The sequence below is a fragment of the Homo sapiens genome, chromosome 21, assembly GCF_000001405.40.
Source record: "Homo sapiens chromosome 21, GRCh38.p14 Primary Assembly".
Lineage (NCBI taxonomy): Eukaryota > Metazoa > Chordata > Mammalia > Primates > Hominidae > Homo > Homo sapiens.
This window is the reverse complement of record NC_000021.9, coordinates 17,627,365-17,643,715: the sequence shown is the minus strand read 5'-3', so window position 1 is coordinate 17,643,715 and position 16,351 is coordinate 17,627,365. Positions and strand designations below refer to the sequence as shown.

The following is a 16,351-nucleotide window of genomic DNA, read 5'->3' as shown; positions in this document are numbered from 1 at the left end:
CATCTACTTCTGTTTCATTTGTAAGCATCTGTGCATTGCTTGAGAAAGTCATGTAATGGTGCCATTTGGCATCACTATGAATTCATGCTATCTAGCCTCAATGTGTCCTCATTCTGTAGGGCCATCTTTATTTCACTCTTCTTTGTTTTTTGTCATGTCACCCAGAAAGACTATTAGAAATATTTTCTATGCTCCTTGAATCATCTGTCTTAGTTCTGTACCCCACTCTCAGCAGATAAAATTATTGAAAATTAATGTATCTATTTCCTAGCCTCTCCTCTGCTTGAAATCATCTCTGTATTTTTCACCTATCCTCTTTCCAAGTCTAATTTTTGCCTGTGATTGGATTTAAGTCCTCCTTTTGTTCTCTAGGGCATATTCTGTCTGTCCTCCTCTCTTCTTTCTCTTTTCTTCTCCACTAGAGTATTTTTGCTCCTAAAAGCAATACTTCTCATAAAGTTACTACCCTATTGAGCTACCAGCCACTACCCATCTTTCTTTCTCTGCTGAATTTTCCACTGGCTGGTTTACAATCACTGCTCAGTTTTTCTACCTGCTATGTGTAATCTGACCTCCATCTTTCATCTACTTAAACTATTCTCCCATTTATACCTTTTGGCTTAATTGCCAAAATTAACAACTTCAATTATTGTCCTTGCACTAAGAAGCTCTCTCTCTCTTGCTCTCTCTCTCTCTTTTTTTCTTTTTTGGAAACTTTCTTCTCCATTTATTAATTATATTGCATTCTCAAGTTCCATTTACTCCTACTCCACCCTGGCCCTGAATTTTCTAGTCATGCCTCAGTACACCAGGTTGGAGGGACTTGCTGCTCTGTGGCCATGGACTAACAATATGGCAGTGATCTGCAAGCTTGTCAGAAATATGGCATCTCAGGCCCCTTCTAAGAACCTGCTGAATCAGAATCCCAGGATCTGAATTTTAAGTACCTGCTCAGATGATTCATGTACATGTAAAGCTTGAGAAGCATAGCTCTAAGGGTCTGCCCTTGAACATTTTCTCTAACCTGCTTTCTTTCTATTCTTGATAGTCTGATCCAAAACTTCAACTAACCAGGCTGAGCATAGCGGCCCACACCTGTAATCCCAGAACTTTGAAAGGCCAAGGTGGGAGGATCACTTGAGCCCAGGAGTTTGAGACTAGCTTATGCAACATAGGGAGCCATTATCTCTACCAAAACAAACAAACAAACAAACAAACAAACAAAAAAACAGTTAGCTGGGTGTGGTGGTGCACACATAGTCTCAGCTACTGGGGAGGCTGAGATGAAAGAATCAGTTAAGCCTGGGAAATTGAGGCTATAGTGAGCCCTGATGGTTCCACTGCACTCCAGCCTGGGTGATGGAGCGAGGCCCCATCTCAAACAAAACAAAAAAACAACAACAAAATACTTTAATTATAAGCAAAAATCCCAAGATCTATTCTTCTGACCATGAGCTCCTTCCATCCTGTATATTATGTCTCCATTTTCAACAAGCTTTTGAACACTTGATATGTGTTTTTTATAGACAAGCTATCATCTTCAAAGTAAGTCTTAATCTTTTCTAAAAACTGTTGTTTCTTCCCTATCTCAGTTAATGAACATTCTCCCAGGCACTCTGTGTTACAATTTTTTGTTAACCTTGATTCTTTCCTCTCTGCAAATGGCCTTCATATAATAAAGAATATAATCTTGATTGGTTTCATCATTAAATGTCTTTTGCATTTCTATTACTTGGCAAACATAGATGGATAGGTGGATAGATTGATGTGTATATATAATCACTTATTTTGAGTTATCATCCAGGTGATCTTCTAAGAGCTTTATGAATATAAACCTGATATGGTTTGGGTCTGCGTGGCTGCCCAAATCTCATGTCAAATTGAGGGCCCTCCCAGGTGGGGCCTGTTGGGAGGTGATTGGATCATGGGGGTGGTTTCTCATGAATGGTTTTGTACCATCCTACTAGTGCTGTTCTCATGATAGTGAGTGAGTTCTCATGAGATCTGATTGTTTAAAAGTGTGTAGCACCTCCCACCTCTCTAGCCTCCTTCTGCTGGGCTCTGTAAGATGTGCCTGCTTCCCCTTCACCTTCTGCCATGATTGTAAATTTCCTGAGGCCTCCTTAGAAGCATAAGCCACTAGGCTTCCCAGACAGCCTGCAGAACTGTGAGCCAAGTAAACCTCTTTTCTTTATAAATTACCCACCCTCAGGTACTTCTTTATAGCAGCGCAAGAACAGACTAATACAGAAAATTGGTACTAAGGAGTGGGCCATTGCTATAAAGATACCTGAAAATGCAGAAGCAGCTTTAGAACCGGGTAATGGGCAGAGGTTGGAACAGTTTGCAGGGCTCAGAAGAAGACAGGAAGATGAGGGAAAGTTTGGAACTTCCTAGAGACTTGTTAAATTGTTGTGACCAAAATGCCAATAGTGATATGGACATGAAGTCCAGGCTAAGGGGGTATCAGATGGAAATAATGAACTTATTGGGAGCTGGAGTAAAGGTCACTCTTGCTATGCTTTAGTAAAGAGCTTGGTTGGATTGTGCCACTGCTCTGGGGATCTGTAGGACTTTGAACTTGAGAGTGATGATTTAGTGTATCTGGTGGAAGAAATTTCTAAGCAGCAAAGCATTCACGATGTGGCCTGGTTGCTTCTAGTAGCCTTTGTTTATATTTGTGAGCAAAGAAATGACCTGAAATCGGAACTTATATTTACAAGGGAAGCAGAGCATAAAAGTTTGGAAAATTTGGAGCCTGACCATGTGGTAGAAAAGAAAAACTCATTTTTAGGGGAGGAATTCAAGCAGGCTGCAGAAATTTGCATAAGTGAAAAAGAGCCAAGTGCTGTTAGCCAAAACACTGTGGAAAAGGCCTCAAAGACATTTTAGAGACCTTCACAGCAGATCCTCCCATCACAAGCCTAGAGGCCTAGGAGGGAAGAATGATTTTCTGGGCTGGGCCCAAGGCCCCACTGCCCTGCACAGCCTCGGGACCCTGCTCCCCTTGCATCCCAACTTCTCCAGCTCCAGCCTTAGCTAAAAGGGGCTAAGGTACAGCTTGGGTCACTGCTTCAGAGGGTGGAAACCATAAGTCTTGGTGGCTTCCACATGGTGCTAAGCCTGCGGGTGCACAGAGTGCAGGAATTGAGGCTTGGGATCCTCTGCCTAGATTTCAGAGGATGTACAAAAAAGCCTGGCTGTCCGGGCTGAAGCCTGTAGCCAGGGTGGAGCCCTCAGAGAGATCCTCTACTACAGCAGTGCAGAGGAGAAATGTGGGGTTGTAGCCCCCCACACAGTGTCCCCACTGGAGCACTGACTAGTGGAGCTGTGATAAGAGGGCCATTATCCTCCAGAGCCCAGAATGGTAGAGCCATCAACAGCTTGCACTGTGTGCCTGGAAAAGCTCAGGCACTCAATGCTAGCCCATGAAAGCAGCTGCAGGTGCTGAACCCTGTAAAACCACAGGGGCAGGGATGCCCAAGGCTTTGGGAGGCCACCCCTTACACCAGTATAACCTGAATGTGAGACATGGAGTCCAAAAGATTATTTTGGAGCTCTGAGGTTTAATTACTGCTCTGCTGGGTTTTGGAATTCTGTGAGGCCTGTAGCCCCTTCTTTTGGCCTATTTCTCCCTTTTGGAACAGGAGTATTTACCCAATACCTGTACCTTCATTGTATCATGAAAGTAACTAACTTGTTTTTTATTTTACAAGCTTATATGTGGAAGGAGTTTGCCTGATTTCAGATGAGACTTTGGATTTGAGACTTTGGAGTTAATGCTGAAATGAATGAAGACTTTGGAGAGCCTGTGGGGAAGCCATGATCATATTTTGCAATGTGAAAAGAACATGAGATTTGGGAGGGGCCGAGGGGCGAATGATATGGTTTGGATCTGTGTCCCCACCCAAATCTCATGTCAAATTGTAATCTCCAATGTTGGAGGTGGGGTGTGGTGGGAGGTGATTGAATCATGGGGGTGGTTTCTCATTAATGGTTTAGCACCATTCCCCTAGTGCTGTTCTCATGATAGTGAGTTCTCATGAGATCTGGTTGTTTAAATGTGGGTAGCACCTCCCACTTCTCTCTTCCTCCTGCTCACGTCATGTAAGATGTGCCTGCTTCTCTTTCACCTTCTGCCATGATTGTGAATTTCTTGAGGCCTCTCCAGAAGGAGAAGTTGCTATGGTTCCTGTACAGCCTGCAAAACTGTGCCAATTAAACCTCTTTTATTTGTAAATTACCTAGCCTCAGATGTTTCTTTACAGCAGTGCAAGAATGGACTAATACAACCTACTTAAACTTGATTTTGTGGACAATGTTATCTTATTATCTTATCCTCTTTTAGACCTTGGTCACATTTTACCTGGATCTCTGCCATTGCCCAACTACTCTGGCTATGTGCCTACTTGTACACTCTCCCTACCCCAGGACCACCCAGAACACTTATGATGAAAATGCTAATGTTTGTGTAGTGCTTTATAGTTTGCAAAGTACTTTCACATGATCATCTTATTTAACTCTCACCAAAAACTATGAACATGATGTTATTTATATTCTCATCTTTCAAATTGTATTTATTTTTTACTTTTTGTGAGAAAGGGGCTCACTCTGTTGCCTGGGCTGGTCTTAAAATCCTAGCCTCAAGCAGTCCTCCCATGTCAGCCTCCCAAAGTGTTGGGATCACAGTTGTGAGCCATTGCACTCAGCTTCCATTTTATAAATAAGTAAAATGATATTCTAGGTATATATACGATTTGTTCAAGACCAACATCTGACTCCTTACACTTTGCCTGTGCAGCTTTAGCTTTCTAAAGCACAGATGGAGTCTCCTCTTCACAAAACAATGTTAATGTCTTCTAATTACCTACAGAATGATGCAACCTACCTTTCCAGTTTTAAATCCTCCACAACCTATTCTACAATTACTCACTATTCTTAGACTGTACAAGTGCTTTCTCAACTCTATTTCTGTTCACACTCTTCCCACCACCTGTAATACCCTTTTTTTCAATCACCATCTGACAAAATGTATGCATATGCATCACTCAAGGCCCTGCTCAAGTGGCCTTGCCTTCATGGAGTCCTTTCTCAATTAACTATGACACACTCAACCGATGCATCCTTTCCCTCTTTTGCTAAATCATCCAGAGCAGGGCAAATACGAATATTGCTTCTGGAGTCCGAGAACCTGGATTCCAGTGTGGCTGTGCCATTTCTGAGCCTTGGGCTTCAGTTCCTATTGATAATAACAGTATCTAGTTCATCAGATTATGATGACATGCCAAACATACTACTAACAGATATACAATAGTGACCAAACTGGCAAGGTTTCTGTGGCTGTGAAACTTTATATCACAGGGGGAAATAAACAATAAATTAGTAAACATAAACGTTGATATGTAATGTCTTAGCTGGTCATCTATTAAAAGGTCCCCTGAGAAGTGAGGAACGAGCAGGGGCTGGCCCATTCAATGTGCTGGAGGAAATGTCCCAGGAGGAGCAAAGAGCATGTGCAAAGCAGTAGAGCAAAAGAGGCAGATATGTTTGTGGATCTGACATGTCCAGTAACAGAAGCACAGCAAGGAGAGGGCAGAATAAAATGAGATGAAATTGGAGTGATAAACCAGGCCTCATAAACTGCAGCAAAAAAAAAAAAAAATTGTATTTGATTTATTTCTTTTTAGTTATTTATTTATTTTTGAAACAGGTTCTCGCTCTGTCGTCTAGGCTGGAGTGCAGTGGTGAGATCTCGCTCAGCTCACTGCAACCTCCACCTCCAGGTTCAAGCAATTCTCCCACCTCAGCCTCCTGAGTTGCTGAGTTGCTCGAACTACAGATTGTGCCACCACACCCGGTTAAATTTTGTGTTTTTTAGTAGAGACAGGGTTTCACCGTGTTGGCCAGGCTGTTTTGGAACTCCTGACCTCAGGTATCAATCCACCCACCTTGGCCCCCCAAAGTGTTGGGATTACAGGCGCGAGTCACCACGCCTGGCTGTATTTGATTTATAATGAGAAGTATTGAAACATTTTAAGTGAGCAAACAACATGGCCCAATTTTTCTTTTTAAAAAAATTATCTGGGAAAAGGGAAGGAAGGGAGGAAGAAAGGAAAGGAGGAAGGAAGGAAGGAAGGAAGGGAAGGAGGGAGGGAGGGAGGGAGGGAAAAAGAGTGTTTTGGCTAACATTTGTAGAAGTGAAACAACCTTGTTCAGACATTAGCGCATGGGCATGTAAGCACTTTCGGGCAAATTGTATCTGGCATTCTACTGTCAAGAAGTGGGGTCTGGCCGGGGACAGTTGCTCAGGCCTGTAATCCCAGCCTTCAGGGAGGACCAGGCAGGTAGATCACCTGAGGTCAGAAGTTTGGGACCAGCCTGGCCAACATGGTGAAACCCTGTCTCTACTAAAAATACAAAAGAAAAAAACAAAAACAAATTAGCCTGGCGTGGTGGCAGGAGCCTGTAATCCCAGCTACCCGGGAGGCTGAGGCAGGAGAACCTGGGAGGTGGAGGTTGCATTGAGCCGAGATCGCACCACTGCACTCCAGCCTGGGTGACAAAGTGAGACTTGTCTCAAAAAAAAAAAAAAAAAAAAGCGATAGGAGACTTAAAGAAAAAAATGTGGGGTCAGGTCCTCTCCCCTTGAATAGAGAGGTAAGCCTATGACTACAGCAATAGTAACACCATGTGATATCCAAGGCTGAGTCATAAAAAGCAGCTCAGCCACCATTCTGTGCAGATGCCAAGCAGCTGCATAGAGGAGCCAGTGAAGGTGTTCCAGGCACTGTCCCAGTGGAGCCATCAGCTAACAGCCAAAATCAACTCCCAGACATGTGAGGAAGCAAGATTTCAGATTATTCCAGCCTTAGTCCTTGAGCCACTGCAGCTGATCCCTGTCGCAATCCAGACCTGAGCGTATTAAATGTCGTCGTTGTTTAAGTCACTAGACTTTGCCATGTTTTGTTGCACAGCATTAGATAAATGAAACAGCAACTGTTAGTATCAATATCATGTCTGCTAATTACCCAATAACCTCTCTCCTACCTTCTAAACCTCGATTTTCTTTGACGCAGCAAAATACCCAGTTACAAAAACTTATTTCCCCAGATACCTCCCAACGTGACGTTAGTTGACATGTAATTCATTTCTGATTAATGAAATGTAAATGAACATTTACTGGTTAGATCTTCCAGGAAAGCTATTTTATTCCTAATGAAAAGGGACAGAATCAGTTAGTATATACCTTTTGCCTTCAGCTTTTGATCTTACTGCCCAAAAACAGGATTCAAAGTCTGGAGCCATCTTCCAACACTGCATCCTTTGGAAGCAACTTAATTAATTAATTTTAAAAATTAACCATTGCAGATGGCCACTCCCGCTATTTTTATTCAACATTATCCTGGAGGTTCTAACACTCTAATAAGGAAAGAGAAATAATAAAAAGCAAATAGACTGGAAAGGGAGACATAAATCTCTGTTTATTCACAGACGATATTGTCATCTATCAAAAAACCCTAAAGAATCTGCAAATAAGCTGTTAAAACTGAAAGTGAGTTTAGTTCAGTGGCAGGGTACAAAGTCAATATCAAAAACCAATTGCATTTCTTTATATTAGCAATAAACAATCAGAAATTAAAATTAAAGTTTGCCATGTACAGTGGCATCAAAACTGTAAAATACTTAAGGATAAATTCGACAAAAGATGTTCAAGACCTGTACACTGAAAACTATAAAACATTGCTGAGTAAAATTAAATGTTAAAGAAGACCTAAGTCAATTAAGAAATATACCATATTCCTAGATTAGATGACTCTATATTGTTAAGACGTCATTTCTTCCAAATTGATCTGTATATTCAAGGCATTCTAATAGAAATCCCAGCCAGCTACTTTGTAGAAGTAGCAAGCTGACTCTAAAGTTTAAATTAAAGTGCAGAAGATCTAGAACAGACAAAACAACTTGGAAGAAAAAAGAACAAAGTTAGAGGACATTTTGTGTGTGTGTGGTTTTCTTAAAAAGTATTTTTTTAGGAAGTAATTTCTAAGAGTAGAATTAGTGGATAAAAGGCTAGAAGAAAGCTCAATATCTTATTAAATTTCACAGCTCAAAAACTTTTTGATTTGAAATATTTTAAAAATAAATTTTAAGATCTCATAAGCTTGAGCAGTGCCCAAGTGATTCCACCCTCTGGAGGCCAGGTGATAATGAAATGAGATGTGGTGGGAGGATGGAGTAGGATTACCTGCTGGTGACATAAATGATGAATGGGAAAGAAAAATTCTAATTTACTAACTAAATTAATATTGTGGTAAATTTACTAATAAATAAAAGGAAAAACATCCTACTATATAGAAGATATTTTACAAATATTTGATGTTTATAATTATGCTTCAATAGAGCAAAGACTATCTTCACATTAATTTTTAGAAGCTCTAGAAGATGTACTGAACTGGGAACCTGCTGATGTAAACTTTAGTGCTCTGTGTGCCACTAACCAGACAATTGACTTTGGGCAGGACTTTACGTCTCTAGGTCTTAACCTTGATATTTTCAAAAGGAGGTTATTAAAGGACTATTTTGAGAGTTATGCCACAGATTCTATTTAGGCCTTTCTATTAATATTTCATTACTATTACATTTTGTTACAACTTCCATCCATTTCTTCCCTATAGAATCCAATTCCTTATAATTTATCTTTATTAAAGAGCAGTACCATGGGATTATGTCCAAGGAATCAAAGGTTCTAAAATGGTCTTCCCCTTTACCATCAAGGATCAGTAAAGAAGGCATTAAGCCCAGTATTGTGGCATGCACCTGTAGTTCTAACTACTCAGGATGCTTAGGCAGGAGGATTGCTGGAGCCCAGGAGTTCAGGGTTGCAGTGTACTATGACTGCACCTGTGAATAGTCACTGCACTATAGCCTGGGCAATATAGCAATATCACATCTCTAAAAAAAATTAAAAATTAAAAATTAAAGTTTGAAAAAGAAGACATTTAGCACATCTCTACCACTCATTATGGAAACTTCTGTTTTTGCTTCTTTCTGCAGTCCTCCAAATGTAGTCTGTGATGTATCATAGGCATGGAATACCACCATTATTTCTCTCTAGTGATTTCTAGAACAGTCTAGAGTATTGGAGAATACATAAATAAACTAAAAACAAGTTCAAGTCCACCAACTGACCTTTCTCTAGCTACATCTGCAAAGCTCTGTCTCATATTTTTGTAAGTTCTGATAGCTTACTTACTGGGAAAACTACTGGGCTCATAATAATTTTACTCCGAAAAGAGCCCTGTTTAGGCTATCCTATTTTAGTGCAGAGAGTCAGACTTTAAAAAGATACGCAACATGAACAAAATTTTGCAAAGTCTTAAAAAGTACTTTGTCTTTTAGCTATGATAGAATGAGGTACAACTACATTATTCTGCCCAAGGTAGGCCCCAGATGAAGGATCCCCCCCATATAGGACTTCACTATTTACGTAGAATTTAAGAGATAGGAAATCTCTCCTCTGAAGATCATACTCTTGGGTTCATGAGCTTTTAAAATTTTATTTCCTCCTCTGTTATTCCAGACTATGCCATCAGCCCAAATGACCTGCTAATCTTTACCAGTGTATGTGAGGCTATTCTGAGATATAAGCTTCACATAGCTAATGAAAACTTCAGAGCTAGTCTCACGTTGTTGTAAGGGCAAAAGGAACTTTCTTTTCACCTCCTGAAGGTTTGAGAATTCGAATCTATAAACAAACTTACAATAGACAGATTAATGGGAGAACAGGCATACAAATTTATAAATGTACAAGCACATGGGAGTCAGACAAAGTATAAAACTCAAAGAAGGGCCAGATTATTGAAGGTTAAATACCTTCTTCATAAGGCAGAGGGAAGGAGGGGATGTAGGTAATTTTAGAGGAAGAATAGATAATTTTTAGGGGAGATGAATTGGCTCAAAGAACAGACAATAGCCTGGGACAAAGTTAGTCTGGGCTCTGAGAGAGATGGTGACAATTTATGAGAAGTTTAGTGGCAGAATTGCACTGTGAACAAAGGCTGTCTAATTACGCAGATAAAGTCTCTCAGGCACCATTCCTCAGAAGAATAGATGAAAAGTGTGTCTGGGACTATGTGGGGACAATCTTTTCTTTTAATTTTTTTTGAGGGGTCTTGCTTTGTTGCCCTGGCTGAAGTGCAGTGGCACGATCACAGCTCACTGCAGCCTCCGCCCAGCTCAAGTGACTCTCCTGTCTCAGCCTCCTGAGTAGCTGGGACTACAGATGTGCACCAACTCACCCAGCTATTATTTTTTGTAGAGATGGAGTCTCACTATATTGCCCAGGCTGGTCTCGGACTCCTAGGCTCAAGCCATCCTCCCGCCTTGGCCTCTCAAAGTGCTGAGCTTATAGGCATGAGCCACCGGGCCCAGCTGATAATCTTTAATTTCTTCTTTGGTGATTAATCTTCCCTGGTTAGTGAGATTTCAGACAGGAGATTGAAGACAATTGTGTTTCTTTTGGAAGGAATTCCCTCAGTCAGAACTTCAGGGAGAGCTCTCCCTGTGCCTGGGGGAAGAAAACAAAGGAAGATCAGAGAGACCTTGATTCTGAGGCAGCTTCTCAGGCCTTCCAATTTTCTTTAATTCACTGTGTTCAACATGCTATAGAGCCACACTATGAGACATCGTTTTCTGAGCCCCAACATTATCCAATTGTCTTAGCACAGGTTTAGAGAATAAGACCACCTAAACCTTGGGAACACTGTGATTATACACCTAGCCAAATCTGAGCACCCTCCTTCAAACCCTTCACACCCTTCTCTTCAGAGTTTTATTTTTTTATTTTTTTGAAACAGAGTCTCACTCTGTCGCCCAGGCTGGAGTGCGGTGGCGATCTCAGCTCACTGCAAGCTCTGCCTCCCGCGTTCATGTCATTCTCCTGCCTCGGCCTCCTGAGTAGCTGGGACTACAGGCGCCTGCCCCCACGCCCGGCTAATATTTTTTGTATTTTTAGTAGAGATGGGGTTTCACCGTGTTAGCCAGGATGGTCTCAATCTTCTGACCTCGTGATCCGCCCGCCTCGGCCTCCCAAAGTGCTGGCATTACAGGCGTGAGCCACCACGCCCGGCCTCTCTTCAGTTTTAAGTACAGGTTAATGACCACATGACTTGCCAAGTTTGTTTGTGTCTCCTAAATGTCGCGCTTTGGAAACCTTGACCAGCCTGTTCTAACCCCCTTTGAGTTGAGCCTCCACATCAATATGCAACTGTTATTCTGAGTGCTTTCCTTATCTGTTCTTTTTATAGTTCTTCTTATCCTTGATCTTTCTTAATAGGCTGTTCACTTACATGGTGTTCTCTTAAGTTTCCCTCTGAGCTCTTAAACTTTGTTTTTCACAGACATTTTCACTCAGGCTTCAATCTTAACACAGACTATAAAACCCTTCAAACTCTTGGGGAGAAGTGTGAATTTTGTCAACTGCGAATGGTCCACTCTGAATCTCTCACTATGTGGTACTGAAACTGGAAATACATAAATAAATAAGTTATTTATACTCAAATTCTCAAACATGTTTGCTGCTTTCTGTTGAAATTTCCAAATTCAGGCTGGGTGCAGTGGCTCACACCTGTGGTCCCAAGCACTTTGGCAGGCCGAAGCTGGTGGATCACTTGAGCCCTGGAGTTCGAGACTAGCCTGGGTAACATGATAAAATCCTGTATCTACAAAAAATTTAAAAATTAGCCAGGTTGGTGGTGCACACCTGTGGTCCCAGCTGCTCAGGAGGCTGAGGTGGAACGATCTATTGAGCCCAGGAGATAGAGGGTGCAGTGAGCCGTGATCCAAATTCAAGCATTTTTTAAGCCTCATCTTCCTTTAATTGTCATCATAATCAAGTGGTATCTAGTCTACCACACGTAGGGGTAGCTGAGCAAAACAAATAAATGTCTTTAGCTTAGAGTCTGTCTTAGATGGCAGTAATGTGGAGAAATGTATAAAATGACAGCAATACCAAGAGTGAATATAGAAAGCTAAAATCATTAATACTGTCATGTTAATCTCACCAGGTCTCTAAGAGAACGAATATTTGGTATGTTTGAGGTGTCACTGGAGTTGGCACTGATTACTAAACCCTGAATTTTCAAAGCTGATTCTGACAATGCTTTAGTATATTTAGAATTCATCAAAATTATTTCATTAAAAAAGAATACAAGTTGACATCTGTGAGTGCTATCTCACACTTGAGTAAAAATGAAGTCAGCTGCTGCCTGGCTGCAGCAGTACTTTTATTTGACACTTTGAAATACTTGGCTAAAAACGAACTAGTGTGCTGGCCAACAAAAAGCAAAAGAGCGTGAAAAGCAGTGGGATGATAAAACTGGGTAAGAGCAGACATTTTCAGTTCAACTGTTTTATTTTATAGTCTAAGACTATAAAAGCAACGAACTGTAAAACTACATGAACCTATTTACCACTGAATTTTACATGATTCTACCGTAAGTGTCATAATCTATCTTTTCCTCAAGAAAAAAATGGTAAGTTCTATATTTAGGCTAAAGAACCCACAGTGCTAATGTAACAAACTATTTAGTAGGTTCAATACATTTTACTATTCAGATTTCCATCATTCTTTTAATATAATACTGATCTTTTTACAACTATCTTAGAGAATCTCAAATTTGGTTCACTTTTTTTGGTAAGTACAAGGAAGCCAGGGAGTTGCCTTATCTCTCTCTGCGTCATCTCTCTTTCTCCATTGCTGCTTTCTTTGTCTTCTTGTTCGACACCCTGCGTTTCGAATTCTGCACTTCCTTCCTCTTTTCTGTAATCCATTACCTTCCTGGAAAGTATCTCCTAAGTTCCTTTGCTCCCATAATTACCTTTGACTTAAAGCTGAGTAGGAAGCAGAATTTCTGAAACAATACAGTGAAATGTAGATTATATTGCAGAAAAATAACTTAAAATGAATATTATAACAAATTCAATATATGGAACATTTTTAATGACAATAGATGCATTTTCTTCAACAAATCAATACCATGAGAAACCAAAAAAAAAAAAAAAAAAGAAGAAGGAAGAAGGAAGTCTTCTCTACATTTAAAAGACAGGAGAGTCAAAACATTTAAATATGTGGACTTTGCGTTACCATTCAACTAACCAACAGTATACAGAAATATTTTAGACAGTCAGGGATATTTTAATATTGCTGGCTATTCCATAATACCAAAAATACCAGGAATTACTATTAATTTTGTTAGATGTAAAAATGGCATTATGAATTTTTAAAAGACCATATTTTTTAGGGATGCATCTTGAAGTATGTAGGAGTGAAATGACAGGATTTCTAAGATTTGTTTTCAAATATTTAGCAAAGAAAGAAAAAGCAATTACGCAAGTGTGACACAATCTTGGTAATTTTAAATCTCGATGGATATTGGGCTTCATTGTGCTTTGCTCTCTATTTTTGGATATGTTTAAAATTTTTCACTTCATACAATTTTCTAATTTGGAAGTAAAAAATAACATATTCCTGTTCTTAGGTCTCTTGATAAATCCTGAATCTTAGAAACTTTCATTCGACTGTCTTTTTTTAATTCAAGAAAGAGCCCAATATATTTTTGGGTAGCCTTGATTTCTTAGAATCTCACTCTTAATGTCCCAACTACATCCAACACCCGGAAGCCCATTTACCTCCCACCTGGGGCAGTTTGGAGACATCCTGGGTTATTCTGGCAATGCTCAGATAGCTTGATAGCCATAAATAAAATGGCCCATCTTGGTGTTTTCCTAAACAGAAACTATTTTCCCTGTAACGTTATTGACTTCACCTTTCTCCACAGGCAGAGTTTATCACTCTCCACTTTGTTTTATTTATTTATTTATTTATTTGCTTATTTGTTTGTTTGTTTATAGCGCCAGGGTCTCACTATGTTGCCCAAACTGGTCTCAAACTCCTGGGCTCAAGTGATCTTCCTGCCTCAGCCTCCAAGTAGCTGGTATTACAGGCATCCACCACCATGCCCAGCTCCTCCATTTGATGTTTTCATAGAATTAAAATAAAGACCTATATTGGAGTATGAATTACAAGTTGCAATTTTATTTGTCTGTTTTGTTTTTTGCTTCTTTTTGGGTTTTGTTTTGTTTTGTTTTGTTTGAGACAGGGTCTCACTCTGTTCCCAGGCTGGAGTGCAGTGGCACAATCACAGCTAACCACAGCCTCAACCTCCTGGACTCAGGTAATCCTCCGACATCAGCCTCCTAAGTAGCTGGGACTACAGGCATATACCAACATACATGGCTAATTTTTTAATTTTTTTTTTTTTTTTTTTTGAGACACAGTCTCTCTCTCTCTCTCTGTCGCCCAGGCTGGAGTACAGTGGTGCCATCTTGGCTCACTGCACTCTCCGCCTCCCAGGTTCAAGCGATCCTTCCACTTCAGCCTCCTGAGCAGCTGGGACTACAGGCCTGCATCACCATACCCAGCTAATTTTTGTATTTTTAGTAGAAATGGGGTTTTGCTATGTTGGCCAGACTGGTCTCAAACTCCTGGCTTCAAGTGATCGGCCCACCTCGGCCTCCCAAAGTGCTGTGATTCATTGGCCTCCTTGTCTCTTACCCCCAGTAAGTTGTAAGCTCCTTGAAGACAGAGACTGTGATGGTTAATTGTATATGTCAACTTGACTGGCCATAGGATGCCCAACTATTTAGCCCAGCATCATTCAGGGTGAGTCTGTGAGGGTGTTTTTGGATGAGATCAACATTTAAATCAGTAGACCTAGTAAAGCAGATTGCCCTCCATGCTGTGGATATGACTCCTCTAATCAGTTGAAGGTCTCAGCAGAACAAAAAGGCTGACCCTCTCCCAAGTGAGAGAGAATTCTTGCTGCCTGATTACTTTCTAAGAACTGGGACATTGGCCGGGCACGGTGGCTCACGCCTGTAATCCCAACACTTTGGGAGGCCGAGGAGGGCGGATTGCCTGAGGTCAGGAGTTCGAGACCAGTCTGGCCAACATGGTGAAACACCATCTCTACTAAAAATACAAAAAAATTAGCTGGGCGTGGTGGCGTGCGCCTGTAATTCCAGCTACTCGGGAGGCTAAGACAGGAAAATCGCTTGAACCTGGGAGGCAGAGGTTGCAGTGAGCCGAGATCACGCCACTGCATTCCAGCCTGGACGACAGAGCGAGACTCCGTCTCAAAAAAAAAAAAGAACTGGGACATTGACGTTTTTCTGCCTTCAGACTCCATCTGAAACGTCAGCTCTTCCTGGGTCTCAAGCCCGCCGGCAATGGGACTGGAACTACACCATGGACTCTCCTGGTTCCCAGGCTTTCAGACCCAGGCTAGAACTATACCAGTGGCTCCCCTGGGTCTCCAGCTTCCCAACTTATCTTACAGATCTTGGGACTTGCCCGCTTTCATAATCGTGTGAGCCAATTCCTTAAAATAAATCTCTTTATATATATTTATACACATCTTATTGGTTCTGTTTCTCTGGAGAACCCTGACTAAAACAGAGACCATATCTTATGCATTTCTAAAGGCCCAGAACTTGGAACAGTGCCTAACAAAGAGTAGATGCTTCTTTTAAAGGTTTGCTGAATGAAATGGTGCTTTTATAATCTCTTAAGTGTATAACTCTTATTTGAGTATTGATTTGTTTGTGCACAAAAAAAGTTGGGCTTTGAGAAAAGGAAAAGTTGAGTTCTACATTAGTGTGAAAAAAAGAGAATTACTTGCTTTTAGAAAAAATCAACTAAAAACTTAATCAACTAAAAGAAAGAAACTACTGAACTAGACCAGAATTGGATTTGTTTCCATATTGTATTGACCCAAACTTTAAATTTGTTCACACATCCATACTTTTACCAATCTGGGTCTTAATTTTCTCATCATGGTCCACAAAGTTGGATCCTAATCTGGCATCTCACTGGCTCTGAACTTTTGTCTCTCTCATCTTTCCGAGTAGCAACCACAAGTTAATTTTCCTAACATTGCTTTTATCTTGTCTCAAAATTTTTAGCAGCTCTCTAATATCTACTCCTTTTGCTCTGGTATTCAAGTGACTCACAGTCTTCTCTTTTATTTACTTTTAAATATTTTGTAGAGACCATATTTCCCGATGGTCTTGACTCTTGGGCTCAAGCAATTCTCCTGCCTTGGCCTCCCAAAGTGTTGGGATTACAGGATGGTGAGGTCAGGTGCATGAGGTGCCACACGCAGCCTCACAATCTTAACTTGCCTTTTCCAGCCTGTCTTTCATCAATCTCTCAATCAAGTCCTTTGTCCTTCCTTGTTGGTTAATGACAACCCATTTATTACACATCTTACTAAATTTACTCCAGTTCTCT

At 40.7% G+C, this 16,351-nt stretch overlaps 1 protein-coding gene across 3 annotated transcripts in view; it reads right to left on the bottom strand.

Moving 5' to 3' along the window:
- Positions 7,454-16,351, bottom strand: part of CXADR (CXADR cell adhesion molecule) — a 123,220-nt gene continuing 114,322 nt past the window's right edge. For all 3 annotated transcript variants that reach the window (XR_001754814.2, XM_011529476.3, XM_011529478.3), the window contains one exon: positions 7,454-10,567. Coding sequence is in view for 2 of the 3 variants with exons in the window: in XM_011529476.3 (XP_011527778.1) it covers positions 10,538-10,567 (30 nt within the window). In the remaining variant the exon portion in view is untranslated. The remainder of the gene's footprint in view (positions 10,568-16,351) is intronic.